Genomic DNA, 23,865 nt, shown 5'->3' on the forward strand with positions numbered 1-23,865 from the left:
CGCCTGTAATCCCAGCACTTTGGGAGGCTGAGGCGGGTGGATCACCTGAGGCCAAGGAGTTCGAAACCAGCCTGGCCAACATGGTGAAACCCTATCTCTACTAAAAATACAACAAATTAGCCGGGTGTGGTGGCGGGCGCCTGTAATCCCAGCTACTCCTGAGGCTGAGGCAGGAGAATCGCTTGAACTTGGGAGGCAGAGGTTGCAGTGAGCCAAGATCAGGCCACTGCACTCCGGCCTGGGCAACAAGAGCGAAACTCTGTCTCAAAAAAAAAAAAAAGTTAATTTTGAACATGTTAAATTTGAGGTGAGGTGCAGGAAATAGAGTTGAAAATATAGGCAGATAGAGTGCATGGACTGTAATTTAAATAGTGTTTTCTCTCACAGGTGGTAGTTAAAATCTTGAGAATGGATTTGGTTTCAGGGAGAGATTGTAGAGAGAGTAACTATAGGCCATACCCACAGAGAGGAGGTTGGAGAAATTATTGAAGGAGGCATGTGGATCTCAGAGCTAAGAGCAAGGAAGGAGTTCTTTTTAAAAAAGTTACATATAGTTGTAGATTCTCAGGGGCCCAGTGTTGTTATTAAGCTAATTTAACAGCATTTACAGCAAATAATAAGCACCTACTTCTGGGAATTCTGGCAGAAAATAAATAATTCAAATAGATATAATCTCCACTGCCTAATTGTCTACCCAGAAGTGGTATCATTTACATATTTATTTATTCAACAAATATTTATATGTTTCAAGCACTGCTGGTTCTAGGGATATAACGACGAGCAAGGTAGACATTGTTCTTATCCTCCCTGCATGTAAAGCCCTTAGCATCTACATCAGTGCTTTTCAAATTTTAATGTACATATGAATCATCTGAGGATTTTATTAAAATGTAGATTATGAATCAGTAGGTGGGGGCTGAAAATTCTGTATTACTAACAAGCTCCAATGTGATACTGATGTTCTTAGGACCATACTTTTAAGTGACAAGAATCTAGATCCTGTTTAGCAAATATGGCCGTTATTAAGCCACTACCACTACCCATCATCTGTTTCTCCTAGGATAAAATAATTTTACTTCTTATGAAAATAATATATGCTTATACAAATATTGGAACAATATAGAAAAGTGTAAAGAACCATGTAAAAATCACTCCTAATTCTCCCTACCCAGAGATAACCATTATTAATATTTTTGGGAACATTCATCCAGATTTTACATATGTACATACATTCACAATTTAAGTGTTGCACTAAGTACATGTCACACTCTAAGCCCTGTGTTTGATTCTATTTGCTGTATGATTTTATTAAGATAAATACCCAAGTGTCCAGAACCAAGCAATTAAGTACTTGCATTCTTGAGGGAGCCACTTAAAAATAATTTGGGGGCCAGGCACGGTGGCTCACGTCTGTAATCTCAGCACTTTGGGAGGCCAAGGTGGATGGATCACGAGGTCAAGAGATCAAGACCATCCTGGCCAGCCTGATGAAACCCTGTCTCTACTGAAAATACAAAAATTAGCTAGGCTTGGTGGCACATGCCTGTAGTCCCAGCTACTCGGGAGGCTGAGGTAGGAGAATCACTTGAACCTGGGAGCGGAGGTTGCAGTGAGCTGAGATTGTGCCACTGCACTCCAGCCTGGCAACAGAGCAAGAATCCGTCTCAAAAAACAAAAAAAAAAACAAAACAAAAAACAAACTTTGGGAGCCGGACAGTGTCTCATGCCTATAATCATTCCAGGTGCCCAAGAGGCTGAGGTGGGAGGATTGCTTGTGCCTAGCAGTTTGAGGCAGCAGTGAGCTATGATTGTGACACTGCACTCCAGCCTGGGTGACAGAGCAAGACTCCATTTCTTAAAAAAATAAAAACTTGTGTTACTTCAAAAATGGGGAGACATTAACATAATTACATGTGGGCTCTAGTAAATGAATATTTGTCATTTCATTTAGGATGAGAGGAGAATTTTTAAAGTTTTAAAAAAAACTTAGTTTTTTTCTTACTACAAAATCAATTGATGTTCACGTAAGATAAATAAGGAAAAAAAATAAAAGCACCTACACTCCTCCCAACCCAAAGACAATCCTTGCTGTCTTCACCTTCCTTCCTGCTAACCTGTCTTATCTATATCTTTCATTTCAGCCACTATCTTTCCAAAACCCTCTTACACCATAGTCATTCAGAAAGGAGTAACTATGTATTTATGATTTTTCTGGAGCATCTACTGGAGAAACTAAATTTCATTAGCTTTTTATCTTCAAGTAACAGCATGTGTAGGTAGAAGTTATATTGCAAAGGATTAAGTGCATGAATGGTAAGCAGGTAAAGAAACTTCTTAACCCTTTGCAGTCTAATGTTTACTTCCAAGCTGCTGACAGTTGTGAAAAGTTAGCAGTCAAAGGAAAAGAAATGGACAATAAGAAAGACCAACAGTATTTAGGGAAGATTTGATAGTAGCTGTTGCTACTGGGATATTTTTGGCTTTTGAGAACAGCTGAAAAATGTCGATTTTTTTTTTTTTTTGGTCTGACCTCTGAATTCATTTTCAGACGCATTTTCTCTTTATGCCTGCCAATCTGCTACATCATCTCTCTAACTATACCTTTTCCTAATTACACTACTCTCTTTCCTCTGTAGTTCAGCCTCCTGTTTTATTTTGTTCAGAGCATATTTGAATGTCAGTTCTGTTTTAATGAATTGCCTGAAGGATTCTTCCTGTGCGCTGCACAAACGAAACCAGTTCACTGAGACTGTGCTACTGCAGTAAAGAAACAGCTTACTTAACAATGATGCTGGCTGTGCAAAGGAGTTATTACTCAAATCAGTCTCGCCAAAGACTTGGTGGTTAGTTTTTCAAGGATAGTTTTTAGTTTGGTGGCAGGGGACTAGGGAATGAGGGCTGCTGGTTGGCTGGGGATGTGATGATAAGGGTGTGAAAAATGGTCCTTGTGTGCTGAGTCCACCTCTGGGTGGGGAGCCACGTGACTGGTTGGGTCATGAGTCACTAGTTCACCTCTAGGTAGTGTCAGTTGGTCCAGAATGCAAAGGTCTGAAAAATATCTCAAAAGACCAATCTTAGGTTCTGTAGCCAGGGAAAATATAAATCCTGTGTCCTCTGGAAAAAAGACTGGTTATCATTTAACTACATGTTACCAGAATTCAGGTCCCTCTCATAATCCTAATCTTGTAGTCTTTCATTACCTTTATAAAGGCAGTTTAGTTTTGGAAAAGGTTACTATCATCCTTGCTTTAGGTTAAACTGTAAACTAAATTCCTTTCAAAGTTAGCTTGGCCTGCACCCAGAAATGACCAAGGACAGATTGGAGGTCAGAAACAAGATGGAATCAACTATGAGATTTCTCTTAGCTGTCATAATTTTGCAAAGGCAGTTTCACTCTCTGATTCATACTATCTATGCCTCACTCTTACTCCCCAATATCCCCAAATAAGTCGGGGATCCCACAGCATAAGGATATGGCTAGGCTCTCACATATCATCTTATGAACCTAAGTTAGGTGTCAGGGAAGGTTTTTGATTCCACTTCCCCCCACTCCTGCCTTCTGGATCATCTCTCTTGATATATCATTCATTCATTCATTCATTCAAACAGACCCCTACCTAGGTGATTCTCAAAAGAGTGGGGTCTGGGGCTGGAGGAGGTGTCAGGGTAAACCAGTTACCAAAAGTCTTTCATACTAATACCTTCAAAGGACAAATGCAAATGTAAAAAGGAAGCTGAAAGAATATGCAGTGGGGTTCCAAGATGGCCGAATAGGAACAGCTCCAGTCTACAGCTCCCAGCGTGAGCGACGCAGAAGACGGGTGATTTCTGCATTTCTAACTGAGATACTGAGTTCATCTCACTGGGGATTATCGGACAGTGGGTGCAGGACAGTGGGTGCAGCGCACCGAGCGTGAGCCGAAGCAGGGCAAGGCATCACCTCACCCGGGAAGTGCAAGGGGTCAGGGAATTCCCTTTCCTAGCCAAGGGAAGGGGGGACAAATGGCACCTGGAAAATCGGGTCACTCCCACCCTAATACTGTGCTTTTCCGACAGTCTTAGCAAACAGCACACCAGGAGATTATATCCCACGCCTGGCTCGGAGGGTCCTATGCCCACGGAGCCTCACTCATTTGTAGCACAGCAGTCTGAGATTGAACTGCAACGTGGCAGCGAGGCTGGGGGGGGGGGCACCCGCCATTGCTGAGGCTTGAGTAGATAAACAGAGGGGCCGGGAAGCTCGAACTGGGTGGAGCCCACCACAGCTCAAGGAGGCCTGCCTGCCTCTGTAGACTTCACCTCTGGGGGCAGGGCATAGCCAAACAAAAGGCAGCAGAAACCTCTGCAGACTTAAATGTTCCTGTCTGACAGCTTGGAAGAGAGTAGTGGTTCTCCCAGCATGGAGCTTGAGATCTGAGAACGGACAGACTGCCTCCTCAAGTGGGTCCCTGACCCTCAAGTAGCCTAACTGGGAGGCACCCCACAGTAGGGGCAGACTGACACCTCACACAGCCGGGTACCCCTCTGAGACGAAACTTCCAGAGGAACGATCAGGCAGCAACATTTGCTGTTCAGCAATATTCGCTGTTCTGCAGCCTCTGCTGATACCCAGGCAAACAGGATCTGGAGTGGACCTCCAGCAAACTCCAACAGACCTGCATCTGAGGGTCCTGACTGTTAGAAGGAAAACTAACAAACAGAAAGGACATCCACATCAAAACCCATTTGTACATCAACATCATCAAAGACCAAAAGTAGATAAAACCACAAAGATGGGGAAAAAACAGAGCAGAAAAACTGAAAATTCTAAAAATCAGAGCACCTCTCCTCCTCCAAAGGAACGCAGCTCCTCACCAGCAATGGAACAAAGCTGGATGGAGAATGACTTCGACAAGTTGAGAGAAGAAGGCTTCAGACGATCAAACTTCTCCGAGCTAAAGGAGGAAGTTCAAACCCAACACAAAGAAGTTAAAAACCTTGAAAAAAGATTAGACGAATGGCTAACTAGAATAACCAATGCAGAGAAGTCCTTAAAGGACCTGATGGAGCTGAAAACCATAGCACGAGAACTACATGAAGAATGCACAAGCTTCAGTAGCCGATTTGATCAACTGGAAGAAAGGGTATCAGTGATGGAAGATCAAATGAATGAAATGAAGCCAGAAGAGAAGTTTAGAGAAAAAAGAATAAACCGAAATGAACAAAGCCTCCAAGAAATATGGGACTATGTGAAAAGACCAAATCTGCGTCCGATTGGTGTACCTGAAAGTGACAGGGAGAATGGAACCAAGTTGGAAAGTACTTTGCAGGATATTATCCAGGAGAACTTCCCCAACCTAGCAAGGCAGGCCAACATTCAAATTCAGGAAGTACAGAGAATGCCACAAAGATACTCCTCGAGAAGAGCAACTCCAAAACACGTAATTGTCAGATTCACCAAAGTTGAAATGAAGGAAAAAATGTTAAGGGCAGCCAGAGAGAAAGGTCGGGTTACCCACAAAGGGAAGCCCATCAGACTAACAGCTGATCTCTCGGCAGGAACTCTACAAGCCAGAAGAGAGTGTGGGCCAATATTCAACATTCTTAAAGAAAAGAATCTTCAACCCAGAATTTCATATCCAGCCAAACTAAGCTTCATAAGTGAAGGAGAAATAAAATCCTTTACAGACAAGCAAATGCTGAGAGATTTTGTCACCACCAGGCCTGCCCTAAAAGAGCTCCTGAAGGGAGCACTAAACATGGAAAGGAACAGCCGATACCAGCCTCTGCAAAAACATGCCAGATTCTAAAGACCATGGATGCTAGGCAGAAACTGCATCAACTAACGAGGAAAATCAGCAGCTAACATCATAATGACAGGATCAAATTCACACATAACAATGTTAACCTTAAATGTAAATGGGCTAAATGCCCCAAGTAAAAGACACAGACTGGCAAATTGGATAAAGAGTCAAGACCCACCAGTGTGCTGTATTCAGGAAACCCATCTCACATGCAAAGACACACATAGGCTCAAAATAAAGGGATGGAGGAAGATCTACCAAGCAAATGGAAAACAAAAAAAGGTAGGGGTTGCAATCCTAGTCTCTGATAAAACAGACTTTAAACCAACAAAGATCAAAAGAGACAAAGAAGGCCATTACATAATGGTAAAGGGATCAATTCAACAAGAAGAGCTAACTGTCTTAAATATATATGCACCCAATACAGGAGCACCCAGATTCATAAAGCAAGTCCTGTGTGACCTACAAAGAGACTTAGACTCCCATACAATAATAATGGGAGACTTTAACACCCTACTGTCAACATTAGACAGATCAACGAGACAGAAAGTTAACAAGGATATCCAGGAATTGAACTCAACTCTGCAGCAAGTGGACCTAATAGACATCTATAGAACTCTCCACCCCAAATCAACAGAATATACATTCTTCTCAGCACCACACCACACTTACTCCAAAGTTGACCACATATATGGAAGTAAAGCACTCCTCAGCAAATGCAAAAGAACAGAAATTATAACAAACTGTCTCTCAGACCACAGTGCAATCAAACTAGAACTCAGGATTAAGAAACTCACTCAAAACCGCTCAAATACATGGAAACTGAACAACCTGCTCCTGAATGACTACTGGGTACATAACAAAATGAAGGCAGAAATAAAGATGTGCTTTGAAACCAAGGAGAACAAAGACACAACATACCAGAATCTCTGGGACATGTTTAAAGCAATGTGTAGAGGGAAATTTATAGCACTAAATGCCCACAAGAGAAAGCAGGAAAGATCTAAAATTGACACCCTAACATCACAATTAAAAGAACTAGAGAAGCAAGAGCAAACACATTCAAAAGCTAACAGAAGGCAAGAAATAACTAAGATCAGAGCGGAACTGCAGGAGATACAGACACAAAAAACCCTTCAAAAAATCAATGAATTCAGGAGCTGGTTTTTTGAAAAGGTCAACAAAATTGATAGACCACTAGCAAGACTAATAAAGAAGAAAAGAGAGAAGAATGAAATAGACGCAATAAAAAACGATAAAGGGGATATCACCACCGATCCCACCGAAATACAAACTACCATCAGAGAATAAACACCTCTACACAAATAAACTAGAAAATCTAGAAGAAATGGATAAATTCCTTGACACACACACTCTCCCAAGACTAAACCAGGAAGAAGTTGAATCTCTGAATAGACCAATAACAGGCTCTGAAATTGAGGCAATAATTAATAGCTTACCAACCAAAAAAAGTCCAGGACCAGATGGATTCACAGCCGAATTCTACCAGAGGTACAAGGAGGAGCTGGTACCATTCCTTCTGAAATTATTCCAATCAACAGAAAAAGAGGGAATCCTCCCTAACTCATTTTATGAGGCCAGCATCATCCTGATACCAAAGCCTGGCAGAGACATAACAAAAAAAGAGAATTTTAGATCAATATCCCTGATGAACATCGATGCAAAAATCCTCAATAAAATACTGGCAAACCGAGTCCAGAAGCACATCAAAAAGCTTATCCACCATGATCAAGTGGGCTTCATCCCCAGGATGCAAGGCTGGTTCAACATACATAAATCAGTAAATGTAATCCAACATATAAACAGAACCAACAACAAAAGCCACATAAGATTATCTCAATAGATGCAGAAAAGGCCTTTGACAAAATTCAACAACTCTTCATGCTAAAAAGTCTCAATAAATTAGGTATTGATGGGACGTATCTCAAAATAATAAGAGCCGTTTATGACAAACCCACAGCCAATATCATACTGAATGGGCAAAAACTGGAAGCATTCCCTTTGAAAACTGGCACAAGACAGGGATGCCCTCTCTCACCACTCCTATTCAGCATGGTGTTGGAGGTTCTGGCCAGGGCAATCAGGCAGGAGAAAGAAATAAAAGATATTTAGTTAGGAAAAGAGGAAGTCAAATTGTCCCTGTTTGCAGATGACATGATTGTATATCTAGAAAACCCCATTGTCTCAGCCCAAAATCTCCTTAAGCTGATAAGCAACTTCAGCAAAGTCTCAGGATACAAAATCAATGTGCAAAAATCACAAGCATTCTTATACACCAAATAACAGAGAGCCAAATCATGAGTGAACTCCCATTCACAATTGCTTCAAAGAGAATAAAATACCTAGGAATCCAACTTACAAGGGATGTGAAGGACCTCTTTAAGGAGAAGTACAAACCACTGCTCAACGAAATAAAAGAGGACACAAACAAATGGAAGAACATTCTATGCTCATGGATAGGAAGAATCGATATCTTGAAAATGGCCATACTGCCCAAGGTAATTTATAGATTCAGTGCCATCCCCATCAAGCTACCAATGACTTTCTTCACAGAATTGGAAAAAACTACTTTAGAGTTCATATGGAAGCAAAAAAGAGCCCGCCTTGCCAAGTCAATCCTAAGCTAAAAGAACAAAGCTGGAGGCATCACGCTACCTGACTTCAAACTATACTACAAGGCTACAGTAACCAAAACAGCATGGTACTGGTACCAAAACAGAGATATAGAACAATGGAACAGAACGGAGCCCTCAGAAGTAATACCACACATCTACAACTATCTGATCTTTGACAAAACTGATAAAAACAAGAAATGGGGAAAGGATTCCCTATTTAACAAATGGTGCTGGGAAAACTGGCTAGCCATATGTAGAAAGCTGAAACTGGATCCCTTCCTTACACCTTATACAAAAATTAATTCAAGATGGATTAAAGACTTAAATGTTAGACCTAAAACCATAAAAACCCTAGAAGAAAACCAAGGCAATACCATTCAGGACATAGGCATGGGCAAGGACTTCATGTCTGAAACACCAAAAGCAATGGCAACAAAAGACAAAATTGACAAAAGGGAGCTAATTAAACTGAAGAGCTTCTGCATAGCAAAAGAAACTACCATCAGAGTGAACAGGCAACCTACAGAATGGGAGAAAATTTTTGCAATCTACTCATCTGACAAAGGGCTAATACCCAGAATCTACAAAGAACTCAAACAAATTTACAAGAAAAAAACAACCCCATCAACAAGTGGGCAAAGGATATGAACAGACACTTCTCAAAAGAAGACATTTATGCAGCCAACAGACACATGAAAAAATGCTCATCATCACTGGCCATCAGAGAAATGCAAATCAAAACCATGATAAGATACCATCTCACACCAGTTAGAATGGCGATCATTAAAAAGTCAGGAAACAACAGGTGCTGGAGAGGATGTGGAGAAATAGGAACACTTTTACACTGTTGGTGGGACAGTAAACTGGTTCAACCATTGTGGAAGACAGTGTGGCGATTCCTCTGGGATCTAGAACTAGAAATACCATTTGACCCAGTGATCCCATTACTGGGTATATACCCAAAGGATTATAAGTCATGCTGCTATAAAGACACATGCACATGTATGTTTATTGTGGCACTATTCACAATAGCAAAGACCTGGAACCAACCCAGATGTCCATCAGTGATAGACCGGATTAAGAAAATGTGGCACATATACACCATGAAATATTATGCAGCCATAAAAAAGGATGAGTTCATGTCCTTTGTAGGGACATGGATGAAGCTGGAAACCATCATTCTCAGCAAACTATCTCAAGGACAGAAAACCAAACATCGCATGTTCTCACTCATAGGTGGGAACTGAACAATGAGAACACTTGGTCACAGGAAGGGGGACATCACACACCGGGGCCTGTTGTGGGATGGGAGCAAGGGGGAGGCGTAGCATTGGTAGATATACCTAATGTAAATGATGAGTTAATGGGTACAGCACACCAACATGGCACATGTATACATATGTAACAAACCTGCATGTTGTGCACATGTACCCTAGAGCTTAAAATATAATAATAAAAAAAATAAGTAAATAAAAAAGAATATGCAGTGCTGCTCTTCACTGTAGAAAGAGCCTGAGAATTATCTTGAACTCCAAATCCTGTACCTTTTTTCATCACAGTTGTGTATGGGTTTTATCTACTACTAGTTTTTTTCCAAGCCTTTTCACATCTTGACACATAGTAAATTTGACCAAGAAAAGATGAAAGGAAACATAAAAGAATGTGTTCTTGGCTGGAGATGACCTACTCTTGGGGTCTAGCTGCCCCAAAGACTGAGAGGATTGTTAACTCTGACACCTATAACCCATTCATGATTTAGTTGGTAAGCAGATCTGCCCATTTCTTTCTTCTTCATTGCCAGATCTCAGTTCATGCACTAGTTATGCCCTGCTTCCACTTCATCTAAGAATAATTCTGTGTCGCAATATACCATAATTATATATTAATCTTCTCATATTTGCATTAGAACTTTAAGATTATTGGGCTACTTAAACTTCGTAACTCCCCTCGTTACATCTTTTTTTTCCCTGAAAACATTTGTCATTTCTCTCCCAACCACTGCCTCATTTTAATTTACTATCTCTGCAATACTTTTTCTTTTCTTTTCCATTAGAGATGATATGCTGTCTTCTTTAGGAAACTTTACCTAAGTGTAAGTAAGGAAATGAATGCTATCCTCCCTAGTGTTTTTATTATGATAGCTAAAATGTAACATATAAAAAGAAGTGTATATAGAAACAATATTTTTGTTTTAGTTCTATGCCATATCTCTCTATAGGTTATTTTTTATATTTTTAAACGTTTATTTTTTGAAGGTTGGAACCAGATATGTGAGTTTAAGGGGCTTTAAACTCTTTTAAAAATCTTTTTTTTTTATATTTCAAATTCTGTTTTATTGTAAAAGTTCCTGCAGAACAGAAAAGTTTTATTTAAATAGTTTTCTGTTTTCTTGAGCATTGTGCAGTGTATTTTTAGTATACTTAGCATACTTACTATTACTTGATGTTAATTCAGCCAATTTTAGGCTGGTGGGGAAGATGATTCATGTACACTAACAGTTATAATGCAAAATAGAAACTAGTAAAAGCCTCAAGGTTAGTTGCCTCTCCTTGTGCTTCCATAGTAACCCGTGCTTATTCCTTCATTGCAACTATACTGTATTGTTATTGCCTCTATATTTATCTCTGATAGAGTCCATCATAAACTAGAACAGTGGTTCTTAATTGATGTGGGGGTGGTAAGGAATGGGGCTTGCGCATTTTGGAAAACATCTTCTCATATTCTTTTTCAGGTACATCACTCTCTCCACCACTATCACTACTGCCCTTCTTCTTTTGAAAACTCCTGTACTCACCTTTAAGCCCTTCAAAATTAGGGAAGTGTATCTTATTTGTCATTTTATCTCTAGTGCTTAGCATTTTTTTTTGGCATCTGTGCCCATTAAGGTAGACAGTAACTGTTTATTTGTTGCAGGAAGGTAAAACTAGGTTGGAGGTGGAGGGAGCACTTCTAACCTGGAAGAATATTGAAGACTTCCTTGAAGAAGTGTCATTTGAGAGGAGCTATGAAAAGAAAGTAAACTGGTTTTATGGAAGTAAATGAGAACATTGCAGACAAGAGGTAATGGGCAAAAACACAGAGGCAGGAAAGTGTAGGATGTATTCCAGGAATACTCATGCAAAAACCATAGACTATGTGAAGTGTGAGAAAGCTTATAGTAAATTTGCCTGTATTCAGTCAGATTGTGAATACCCCTTTATACCATTATATGTAATTTGAACTATTTGTAGGTGGTAGGGAACTATTGAAAAGTTTTGATTGTGGTGTAACTTGATTTATCTGTCAGCAACTTGATACATCTGTCAGTGTATAGGTAAGATTGTGGATACAGAGAAAGTGGAGACAGGGACATCAGTTAAAATTAGGACATTAGGTACAATTAGAGTTTAGAATGACAGTGAAGAAGGAAGGAATTGATGCAAGAGGTATTTTAAAGGTAAAATCAACATACTATGGCTTCTTTTTTTCAGTGTCACATTATTCATTTTTAAGTGGTTACTGAATATTCCTAATGAAGCGGTAGTGCTAGTGAAAAGGAACATTTTGATAGGCGAATCTTTCTCTTTTGTGACTGAATTGCCTTGGCATTTATAGAAAATAAATAATGAAGTTAATTGGATATCATCTTGATAATAAAAATGTAATTAAGTTTTTGATATTATGGTTTGGAGGTTTATTTTATAAGAATTAGTTGTAAACTAGAGAAGAAAGAACAAGATATTAATTTAGATTTTATGCCTGTAGTAGCTTATATAGGCAGGCCTATTATGTGTTCTTTCCCATTTATTAATTTGGGCTTAGAAGAAGCTGAGTTATGGCCTACTCTGAGTGCCACTTTAGATTTCACTAGGAATCAGCATAGAATACATTAATGCACTGTTTAATACAAGTACAAGAACTTGAGTTGAAATCTTGAAAATGAAGGGCAGTCTCCTTGTTAATCTTGTGAGCTGCCCTCATCAGAGTATAGGTTGAGCATCCCAAATCTGAAAATTCAAAATCTGAAATGCTCCAAAATCTGCAACTTTTGCGTGCTAATATGATGCTGAAAGGAATGTTCATTGGAGCATTTCAGAATTTTGGATTAGGGATGTTCAACTGGTAAGTGTAATCCAAATATTCTGGAATCCTAAGAAGTCCAAAATACTTTTGGTCCCAAGCATTTTGGATAAGGGATACTAAACCTCTATTTGATAATTGTATTTCCATGGGTTTTAACTGAATACAAAAACTAATACCATCATCAATGTTGATTGATATTGTTTTCACAGTTTTGGGAGATACAAAATAATTATGATTTATTAGGTTATCTTTGCTTAATATACATTACTGATCAGGTGAATTGTTCACATCACTATTGGTATTATTTCTCTTAAGTAGTTTCTTGAGACTGTATATATATATATATATATATTTTAGTGTTTGCTTTATATAGTCATCAGCTCTGGCAGCTCATTTGGATTGTTTTAAAACCCCAAACCAAGACTTGATTTTAAGATGGTAAAGACATTTGTGCCCTATTCTATCTGAAATTACCATGAAACAACAAGGAAACTGAGAGAAAGAGATGTAATTACATCTTTGCTGAGACTAGAAGACCTGTAACTCCAAACTGAAATATTTGAGAAATGGCAGCCACATGTAAGCAGGAAGAGGTTAAAAGAGAATGCTGGTAGAAAGAGATCTCAGATAGAGCTGGCAGAGCAAAGAGTCCTCTTCTGTTTGCAGTGGGATCAGGATGCATAGAAAGGCAATGGGAATTTCCTTGGATTGTTTGGCAACATGAACTAGCAAGAAAGGAAGAGTGAATGAGGAAGTGCACAGATACCCCATCTTTGCAGGAAGCACTCTCTTGCTGAGGCAAAGTAGAGGAGAGATAGTGAGTGGCCCTTTGCTGCCTGTCTCTGACATCTGGAAGAAGTAATGTTTAAATGCTTTTCCCACTTGTTCTCATACACATTCTCTGCCTTTCTCACATATACACATGTACAAAATACTCTGTCAGAAAGAGTTTTCTTGTATACCAGAGACTACCCTCTAGTCTAGAATACACCCTTATTTCTTTCTTCCATAGTTAAGGCGTAAATTATATTCCCGTTTAGAAAAGTAGATGAGGACTGGGTGCCGTGGCTCATGCCTGTAATCCCAGCACTTTGGGAGGCTGAGGCAGGTGGGTTGCTTGAGGTGAGGAGTTCGTGACCAGCCTGACCACCACAGAAAAACCCCGTCTAAACTAAATATACAAAAATTAGCCGAGTGTGGTGGCAGGCACCTGTAATCCCAGTTACTCGGGAGGCTGAGATAGGAGAATTGCTTGAACCCAGGAGGTGAAGGTTGCAGTGAACTGAGATCGTGCCACTGCACTCCATCCAGCCTGAGTGACAGAGGGAGACTCTGTCTCAAAAAAAAAAATGCTTAATTGTAGTTCTGAAAATAGAGAATTCAATGTTATAACAGAAAAAATATTTAAGAAAACCTTCTGCAAAGAAAAGACATCTTTAGGTCAGGCTCAGTAGTAGCTCACACCTGTAATTCCAGCACTTTGGGAGGCTAAGGCAGGAGGTTCTCTTGAGGCTGGGAGTTTAAGACCAGCTTGGGCAACATAGCAAGACCCTGTCTTTACAAATAAATTTTTAAAAAATTAGCTGGGCATGGTGGCACATACTTTTACTCATGGCTACTCAGGAGGCTGAGATAGGAAGATCACTTAAGTGTGGGAGTTTCGGGTTACAATGAGCTATGATTGCACCATTATACTTCAGCCTGGACGACAAAGTGAGACCCTGTCTCAAAAAAAAAAAAATCTTTATTCTACAGATTGAAAGGAAACACACTGAATGAGGAAAAACTAACATACGGTCATCAACATCCTTGTATAACCTAGTTTTTAAAAAAATTGGATTTCAAAGGTAAGGAATGCATTCTTTGCTCATCCCAATAAAAAGATTAAATTACCTATCAGGAGTTGGTTTGGGAAATCAGATATTGTCAAGGGAATATTTAGCACTACAGGACAATGGTACAAAGTGTGTAAGTCATTGGGGAAAGACAGTGTAACCTCAAAGCCAAATTGACAACTATTTTTGAACAAGGCAAAAGCTCAAGGTAAGTGGTACCCCTAAGTTCTTTTTGATAAACTGCAAGAAGATGAATATCAGTCATACAGTAGATGAACAGAGATGATATAGCAAATGGATTGGCAGGGAACATTGTAGGAATAAGACCAAAATAACTATGAGATTTGTAGTTATAGAATACAATAGAACTGTAACATGTAGAAATAATTAATAAAAGTCAAGATTGAAAGAGGAGAGAAGACAGAATGTAGTATAAATTTGTTGGTTTCTTCTTATTTTATAGCTGGAGAACAAAAGACATATAAACCTTAGATATCAAGCATAAGAGAGGTGTCAGTATATTTGAAGGATTGAAGGAATAAATGTAAGCATTTGAAGAACTAAATGTGTTTAACCAAAATCAAACAGTGGAGACAAGGTAGGAAGAAGTAGAACTGTATTAAATTTCTTATCCTAAAGGAATAATCAGAGATGAGACCTAAGATGAAAGAACAAAATGTTTATTGTGGCATTCTTTACAGTTGAAAAAACTGAAAACATACATGGAGTATAAATAAAAACTGACCACATCCTAGATCACACACAAACTTGAAAAGCAACAAAGAGCTGTCTTACAGGCCATGTTCCTTGACTAAAAACGGTCTCAGTTTCTCCTTTGGAAGTGGTTCTCAGCATTGTCAGCAGCACCAGCATCATTTGGGAACTTGTCAGAAATGAAAATTCTGAGGTCTCATACCGGATTTACTGAATCAGAAACTGGAGGAGAAAAGCACCTCTCAACCTTGTTGGTCAGTTTTTATAAATATCCTATTTATGTTTTCAGTTATTTACAGTTATAAAAAAAAGTGATAATAAACATTTTTGTTTTTTCATCATTGGTCTCATATTTGATTATTTCTTTAGCATAGACAATGACCAGATCAAAGAATGCCTGTGGAAATTTAATTTTTTCTTTGTTCTATTGTTGGTTATTACAGGTACAAAATTAAAGAGGTTTTTGTTTCTTTAAAAATATCTTTTTTGTTCACAGAAAACAAAATTATCTTCCTTTCCAAATCCAAAAAGATGAAAACGACTGAGATACTTTCAAAAGACAACCAAGTGAGCAGCACAGACTAATGAGTAGAATCAATAAGAACGTGGTTTTGGCCCTTTTAACGCTGACAAGTTCTGCATTTCTGCTGTTTCAGTTGTACTACTACAAGCACTATTTATCAACAAAGGTAATTTTATTCCTTCTTTCTTATCATTCCTCCTTTCTTATCATTGTATATTTTCTGATCACACTTCTCTTTGCAATACATAATATTAATCATGGGTATTCAAATTCTTGCATCTTTGCGAGGTGTGGCAAACAATTAAAAATTCAGTTAAATATACTTGTAATAGCACACTAAAGACAGGTGCTAAGTTTCAAGGATGTTTAATCTATTGGAATTTCCTGAGCTAGTTATTTAAAAATTATTATTTTGTTAAACAGATTATCCTTCATTTAAATGAACTCAATGATAAATAATTTTGATAAAATGTCAAAATTAGTTTATTTTAGTACAGCATATATTTTAATTTAGTACCTACTGGGGAAGTATAATGGTATGACTTACCTTTATCTGTATGTATAGGAATAAAGTAGAGACAATGATGTGGAAATCAATAGCTTCTGAAGATTCCGTAGAATATACCAGATAAGGAATTCCAAAGTTGAGATGGTGTTGTTACATTGTGAAAAGTTGCCAAACACTCCCTCTGGGGTGTATTATAATAATTACTACCATCACTGATAATTGTACTAGATGCTTTCCATGCTCAGTTTAGTCCTAAAAACAATCATGGGGAAGAAAAAAAATTTTTTTTGTTTTTATGTTTTTATCCTCATGTCTTAATTAGAACTATTCATCAGAATTAATCACTTTGCGCCCCTCCTCAACTAGAATGGAGTATACTTCCCTGCCTTTTTTATGTTGGGCTTGACCAGTAGAATGTTAACAGACATGTGCAGAAGCTTTGAATAGGCTGTTGTGATTTGACTTAGTTTTTATGCTCCCCTGACCTATAGGAGAAGAGAAAAATGTATGGAGCAGACCAAAGCATAGCTGCCCAGCTGACTCACAGATTTGTGAGGGAGGAAATAGATGCTTATAAGCCATAAGACTGGGGGAAGTTTATTATGCAGCATTGTTACATGGAGTTATTAGACCTAATTTTGACAGATAAGAAAACTGAAACTTTTCTTTTTTTTTTTTTTTTAATTAATTTATTTTTTTTATTATACTTTAAGTTTTAGGGTACATTTGCACATTGTGCAGGTTAGTTACATATGTATACATTTGCCGTGCTGGTGTGCTGCACCCACTAACTCGTCATCTAGCATTAGGTATATCTCCCAATGCTATCCCTCCCCACTCCCACCACCCCACAACAGTCCCCAGAGTGTGATATTCCCCTTCCTGTGTCCATGTGATCTCATTGTTCATTTCCCACCTATGAGTGAGAATATGCGGTGTTTGGTTTTTTGTTCTTACGATAGTTTACTGAGAATGATGATTTCCAATTTCATCCATGTCCCTACAAAGGACGTGAACTCATCATTTTTTATGGCTGCATAGTATTCCATGGTGTATATGTGCCACATTTTCTTAATCCAGTCTATCATTGTTGGACATTTGGGTTGGTTCCAAGTCTTTGCTATTGTGAATAATGCCGCAATAAACATACGTGTGCATGTGTCTTTATAGCAGCATGATTTATAGTCATTTGGGTATATACCCAGTAATGGGATGGCTGGGTCAAATGGTATTTCTAGTTCTAGATCCCTGAGGAATCGCCACACTGACTTCCACAATGGTTGAACTAGTTTACAGTCCCACCAACAGTGTAAAAGTGTTCCTGTTTCTCCACATCCTCTCCAGCACCTGTTGTTTCCTGACTTTTTAATGATTGCCATTCTAACTGGTGTGAGATGGTATCTCATTGTGGTTTTGATTTGCATTTCTCTGATGGCCAGTGATGATGAGCATTTTTTCATGTGTCTTTTGGCTGCATAAATGTCTTCTTTTGAGAAGTGTCTGTTCATGTCCTTCGCCCACTTTTTGATGGGGTGGTTTGTTTTTTTCTTGTAAATTTGTTTGAGTTCATTGTAGATTCTGGATATTAGCCCTTTGTCAGATGAGTAGGTTGCAAAAATTTTCTCCCATTTTGTAGGTTGCCTGTTCACTCTGATGGTAGTTTCTTTTGCTGTGCAGAAGCTCTTTATTTTAATTAGATCCCATTTGTCAATTTTGTCTTTTGTTGCTATTGCTTTTGGTGTTTTGGACATGAAGTCCTTGCCCATGCCTATGTCCTGAATGGTAATGCCTAGGTTTTCTTCTAGGGTTTTTATGGTTTTAGGTCTAACGTTTAAATCTTTAATCCATCTTGAATTGATTTTTGTATAAGGTGTAAGGAAGGGATCCAGTTTCAGCTTTCTACATATGGCTAGCCAGTTTTCCCAGCACCATTTATTAAATAGGGAATCCTTTCCCCATTTCTTGTTTTTCTCAGGTTTGTCAAAGATCAGATAGTTGTAGGTATGCGGCATTATTTCTGAGGGCTCTGTTCTGTTCCATTGATCTATATCTCTGTTTTGGTACCAGTACCATGCTGTTTTGGTTACTGTAGCCTTGTAGTATAGTTTGAAGTCAGGTAGCGTGATGCCTCCAGCTTTGTTCTTTTGGCTTAGGATTGACTTGGCGATGCGGGCTCTTTTTTGGTTCCCTATGAACTTTAAAGTAGTTTTTTCGAATTCTGTGAAGAAAGTCATTGGTAGCTTGATGGGGATGGCATTGAATCTGTAAATTACCTTGGGCAGTATGGCCATTTTCACAATATTGATTCTTCCTACCCATGAGCATGGAATGTTCTTCCATTTGTTTGTATCCTCTTTTATTTCCTTGAGCAGTGGTTTGTAGTTCTCCTTGAAGAGGTCCTTCACATCCCTTGTAAGTTGGATTCCTAGGTATTTTATTCTCTTTGAAGCAATTATGAATAGGAGTTCACTTATGATTTGGCTCTCTGTTTGTGTGTTGTTGGTGTATAAGAATGCTTGTGATTTTTGCACATTGATTTTGTATCTTGAGACTTTGCTGAAGTTGCTTATCAGCTTAAGGAGATTTTAGGCTGAGACAATGGGGTTTTCTAGATATACAATCATGTCGTCTGCAAACAGGGACAGTTTGACTTCCTCTTTTCCTAATTGAATACCCTTTATTTCCTTCTCCTGCCTAATTGCCCTGGCCAGAACTTCCAACACTATGTTGAATAGGAGTGGTGAGAGAGGACATCCCTGTCTTGTGCCAGTTTTCAAAGGGAATGCTTCCAGTTTTTGCCCATTCAGTATGATATTGGCTGTGGGTTTGTCATAGATAGCTCTTATCATTTTGAAATACGTCCCATCAATACCTAATTTATTGAGAGTTTTTAGCATGAAGGGTTGTTGAATTTTGTCAAAGGCTTTTTCTGCATCTATTGAGATAATCATGTGGTTTTTGTCTTTGGCTCTGTTTATATGCTGGATTACATTTATTGATTTGCGTATATTGAACCAGCCTTGCATCCCAGGGATGAAGCCCACTTGATCATGGTGGATAAGCTTTTTGATGTGCTGCTGGATTCGGTTTGCCAGTATTTTATTGAGGATTTTTGCATCAATGTTCATCAAGAATATTGGTCTAAAATTCTCTTTTTTTGTTGAGTCTCTGCCCGGCTTTGGTATCAGAATGATGCTGGCCTCATAAAATGAGTTAGGGAGGATTCCCTCTTTTTCTATTGATTGGAATAGTTTCAGAAGGAATGGTACCAGCTCCTCCTTGTACCTCTGGTAGAATTCGGCTGTGAATCCATCTGGTCCTGGACTTTTTTTGGTTGGTAAGCTATTAATTATTGCCTCAATTTCAGAGCCTGTTATTGGTCTATTCAGAGATTCAACTTCTTCCTGGTTTAGTCTTGGGAGAGTGTATGTGTCAAGGAATTTATCCATTTCTTCTAGATTTTCTAGTTTATTTGTGTAGAGGTGTTTATTCTCTGATGGTAGTTTGTATTTCAGTGGGATCGGTGGTGATATCCCCTTTATCGTTTTTTATTGCGTCTATTTCATTCTTCTCTCTTTTCTTCTTTATTAGTCTTGCTAGTGGTCTATCAATTTTGTTGACCTTTTCAAAAAACCAGCTCCTGGATTCATTGATTTTTTGAATGGTTTTTTGTGTCTGTATCTCCTGCAGTTCTGCTCTGATCTTAGTTATTTCTTGCCTTCTGTTAGCTTTTGAATGTGTTTGCTCTTGCTTCTCTAGTTCTCTTAATTGTGATGTTAGGGTGTCAATTTTAGATCTTTCCTGCTTTCTCTTGTGGGCATTTAGTGCTATAAATTTCCCTCTACACATTGCTTTAAACATGTCCCAGAGATTCTGGTATGTCGTGTCTTTGTTCTCGTTGGTTTCAAAGAACATCTTTATTTCTGCCTTCATTTCGTTATGTACCCAGTAGTCATTCAGGAGCAGGTTGTTCAGTTTCCATGTAGTTGAGCGGCTTTGAGTGAGTTTCTTAATCCTGAGTTCTAGTTTGATTGCACTGTGGTCTGAGAGATAGTTTGTTATAATTTGTGTTCTTTTACATTTGCTGAGGAGAGCTTTACTTCCAAGTATGTGGTCAATTTTGGAATAGGTGTGGTGTGGTGCTGAAAAAAATGTATATTCTGTTGATTTGGGGTGGAGAGTTCTGTAGATGTCTATTAGGTCCGCTTGGTGCAGAGCTGAGTTCAATTCCTGGGTATCCTTGTTGACTTTCTGTCTCGTTGATCTGTCTAATGTTGACAGTGGGGTGTTAAAGTCTCCCATTATTAATGTGTGGGAGTCTAAGTCTCTTTGTAGGTCACACAGGACTTGCTTTATGAATCTGGGTGCTCCTGTATTGGGTGCATATATATTTAGGCTAGTTAGCTCTTCTTGTTGAATTGATCCCTTTACCATTATGTAATGGCCTTCTTTGTCTCTTTTGATCTTTGTTGGTTTAAAGTCTGTTTTATCAGAAACTAGGATTGCAACCCCTGCCTTTTTTTGTTTTCCATTTGCTTGGTAGATCTTCCTCCATCCTTTTATTTTGAGCCTATGTGTGTCTCTGCACGTGAGATGGGTTTCCTGAATACAGCATACTGGTGGGTCTTGACTCTTTATCCAATTTGCCAGTCTGTGTCTTTTAATTGGAGAATTTAGTCCATTTACATTTAAAGTTAATATTGTTATGTGTGAATTTGATCCTGTCATTATGATGTTAGCTGCTGATTTTCCTCGTTAGTTGACGCAGTTTCTTCCTAGTCTCGACGGTCTTTACATTTTGGCATGATTTTGCAGCAGCTGGTACCGGTTGTTCCTTTCCATGTTTAGTGCTTCCTTCAGGAGCTCTTTTAGGGCAGGCCTGGTGGTGACAAAATCTCTCAGCATTTGCTTGTCTGTAAAGTATTTAATTTCTCCTTCACTTATGAAGCTTAGTTTGGCTGGATATGAAATTCTGGGTTGAAAATTCTTTTCTTTAAGAATGTTGAATATTGGCCCCCACTCTCTTCTGGCTTGTAGGGTTTCTGCCAAGAGATCCGCTGTTAGTCTGATGGGCTTCCCTTTGAGGGTAACCCGACCTTTCTCTCTGGCTGCCCTTAACATTTTTTCCTTCATTTCAACTTTGGTGAATCTGACAATTATGTGTCTTGGAGTTGCTCTTCTCGAGGAGTATCTTTGTGGCGTTCTCTGTATTTCCTGAATCTGAACGTTGGCCTGCCTTGCTAGATTGGGGAAGTTCTCCTGGATAATATCCTGCAGAGTGTTTTCCAACTTGGTTCCATTCTCCCCATCACTTTCAGGTACACCAATCAGACGTAGATTTGGTCTTTTCACATAGTCCCATATTTCTTGGAGGCTTTGCTCATTTCTTTTTATTCTTTTTTCTCTAAACTTCCCTTCTCGCTTCATTTCATTCATTTCATCTTCCATTGCTGATACCCTTTCTTCCAGTTGATCGCATCGGCTCCTGAGGCTTCTGCATTCTTCACGTAGTTCTCGAGCCTTGGTTTTCAGCTCCATCAGCTCCTTTAAGTACTTCTCTGTATTGGTTATTCTAGTTATACATTCTTCTCAATTTTTTTCAAAGTTTTTAACTTCTTTGCCTTTGGTTTGAATGTCCTCCCGTAGCTCAGAGTAATTTGATCGTCTGAAGCCTTCTTCTCTCAGCTCGTCAAAGTCATTCTCCATCCAGCTTTGTTCCGTTGCTGGTGAGGAACTGCGTTCCTTTGTAGGAGGAGAGGCGCTCTGCGTTTTAGAGTTTCCAGTTTTTCTGTTCTGTTTTTTCCCCATCTTTGTGGTTTTATCTACTTTTGGTCTTTGATGATGGTGATGTACAGATGGGTTTTCGGTGTGGATGTCCTTTCTGTTTGTTAGTTTTCCTTCTAACAGACAGGACCCTCAGCTGCAGGTCTGTTGGAGTACCCTGCCTTGTGAGGTGTCAGTGTGCCCCTGCTGCGGGGTGCCTCCCAGTTAGGCTGCTCGGGGGTCAGGGGTCAGGGACCCACTTGAGGAGGCAGTCTGCCGGTTCTCAGATCTCCAGCTGCGTGCTGGGAGAACCACTGCTCTCTTCAAAGCTGTCAGACAGGGACATTGAAGTCTGCAGAGGTTACTGCTGTCTTTTTGTTTGTCTGTGCCCTGCCCCCAGAGGTGGAGCCTACAGAGGCAGGCAGGCCTCCTTGAACTGTGGTGGGCTCCATGCAGTTCGAGCTTCCCGGCTGCTTTGTTTACCTAAGCAAGCCTGGGCAATGGCGGGCGCCCCTCCCCCAGCCTCGCTGCCGCCTTGCAGTTTGATCTCAGACTGCTGGGCTAGCAATCAGCGAGATTCCGTGGGCGTAGGACCCTCCGAGCCAGGTGTGGGATATAGTCTCGTGGTGCACTGTTTTTTAAGCCGGTCTGAAAAGCGCAATATTCGGGTGGGAGTGACCCGATTTTCCAGGTGTGTCCGTCACCCCTTTCTTTGACTCAGAAAGGGAACTCCCTGACACCTTGCGCTTCCCAGGTGAGGCAATGCCTCGCCCTGCTTCGGCTCGCGCACGGTGCGCGCACCCACTAGCCTGCGCCCACTGTCTGGCACTCCCTAGTGAGATGAACCCGGTACCTCAGATGGAAATGCAGAAATCACCCGTCTTCTGCGTCGCTCATGCTGGGAGCTGTAGACCGGAGCTGTTCCTATTCGGCCATCTTGGCTCCTACCCGAAACTTTTCTTTTTTTAAGAGAGGATCTCGCTTCGTCACCCAGGCTGAAGTACAGTGGCATAATCATAGCTCACTGTAACCTTGAATCTGGGGCTCAAGCAGTACTCCTGCCTCAATCTCCTGAGTTGTTAGGAGGACTACAGGCACATGCCATCACGCCTGACTAATTAAAAAAAATTTTTTGTAGAGACGGGGTCTCGCTGTGTTGCCCAGGCTGGTCTTGAACTCCTGGCCTCAGGCAGTTCTGTCACCTCAGGCTCCCAAAGTGCTGGGATTACAAGTATGGGCTACTGCAACTGGCCTGGAAAACCAAAATTGTTAACAGAGATGTGAAATAATTTACCCATACAAACCACCCAATATCTAATGTGTATAGCTGACCTCTAATGTCCCTAGCTCCATTTTTTCCAGGCTATATAATTTTAAAAATAACAGACTATACTGATTCTACTTTTGATCTTGGCTGTTTATCCAATGAATGTCTTTCTGTGACATCTTCAACCCTTTCCTCATTATTTTCTTAGGATAAAGTCCTAGAGTAGAAATTCTAGATCTAATATGCACATTTTAGATTTTTGTTATATATTACAAAGTTATCCTTCATAAGGATAAGCAGTATACCTGATTTCTCATATCTTTTCATAAATAGGAATAACAATAATAATGGCATCTGTTTCAGTTAGAGATGGCTGGCTAATAGTAGCTTAAACAAATAGAGGAATTATCTGTCCATATCTATAAGTCTAGAGCCTCTAAAATTCTCTTGGTATTTCCTGTGTTACAGTCAAGGCTAGAAGGAATAATAGTGTGATCTAGCAGGCTTCTAGTTTTGTGACAGTGGCCAGCAGATTCCCAAATATAAGAGAATCTGGGGAAGTAAGGTTTTACTATTGTTATTTAGCTTTTCTAGCCTCTATAATAGAGATTGCAAAAGAGAAGGGGTTTGGGAATGGGTGTCAGGTCAGCTTACCTATAGTGCCTGCCATAGCAGCTAACATTTTTTGATGTGCTTGATTGAGCAGGCCCTATGCGAAGCACTTTACCAACATTTAATTCTTAAAACAAGTTGAGTAGATCTTGTTCTTCCTGT

The 23,865-nt window shown here is 39.5% G+C and overlaps 1 protein-coding gene across 54 annotated transcripts in view; it reads left to right on the forward strand.

The window, feature by feature from the left end:
• The window catches only part of FKTN (fukutin), an 82,989-nt gene that overhangs the window by 1,289 nt on the left and 57,835 nt on the right, over positions 1-23,865 (forward strand). For 13 of the 54 annotated variants that reach the window (NR_147213.2, XM_047422984.1, XM_047422991.1 and 10 more), the window contains exons 2-3: positions 14,237-14,328; positions 15,527-15,719. Coding sequence is in view for 46 of the 54 variants with exons in the window: in XM_047422984.1 (XP_047278940.1) it covers positions 15,615-15,719 (105 nt within the window). In the remaining 8 variants the exon portion in view is untranslated. Of the gene's footprint in view, positions 1-9,900; positions 11,480-14,236; positions 14,329-14,779; positions 15,285-15,526; positions 15,720-23,865 lie in introns of those variants that run through there. The other 41 variants (NR_147214.2, XM_047422972.1, NM_006731.2 and 38 more) reach the window with 10 other exon arrangements.

Source organism: Homo sapiens, chromosome 9, assembly GCF_000001405.40.
Source record: "Homo sapiens chromosome 9, GRCh38.p14 Primary Assembly".
Classification (NCBI taxonomy): Eukaryota; Metazoa; Chordata; class Mammalia; order Primates; family Hominidae; genus Homo; species Homo sapiens.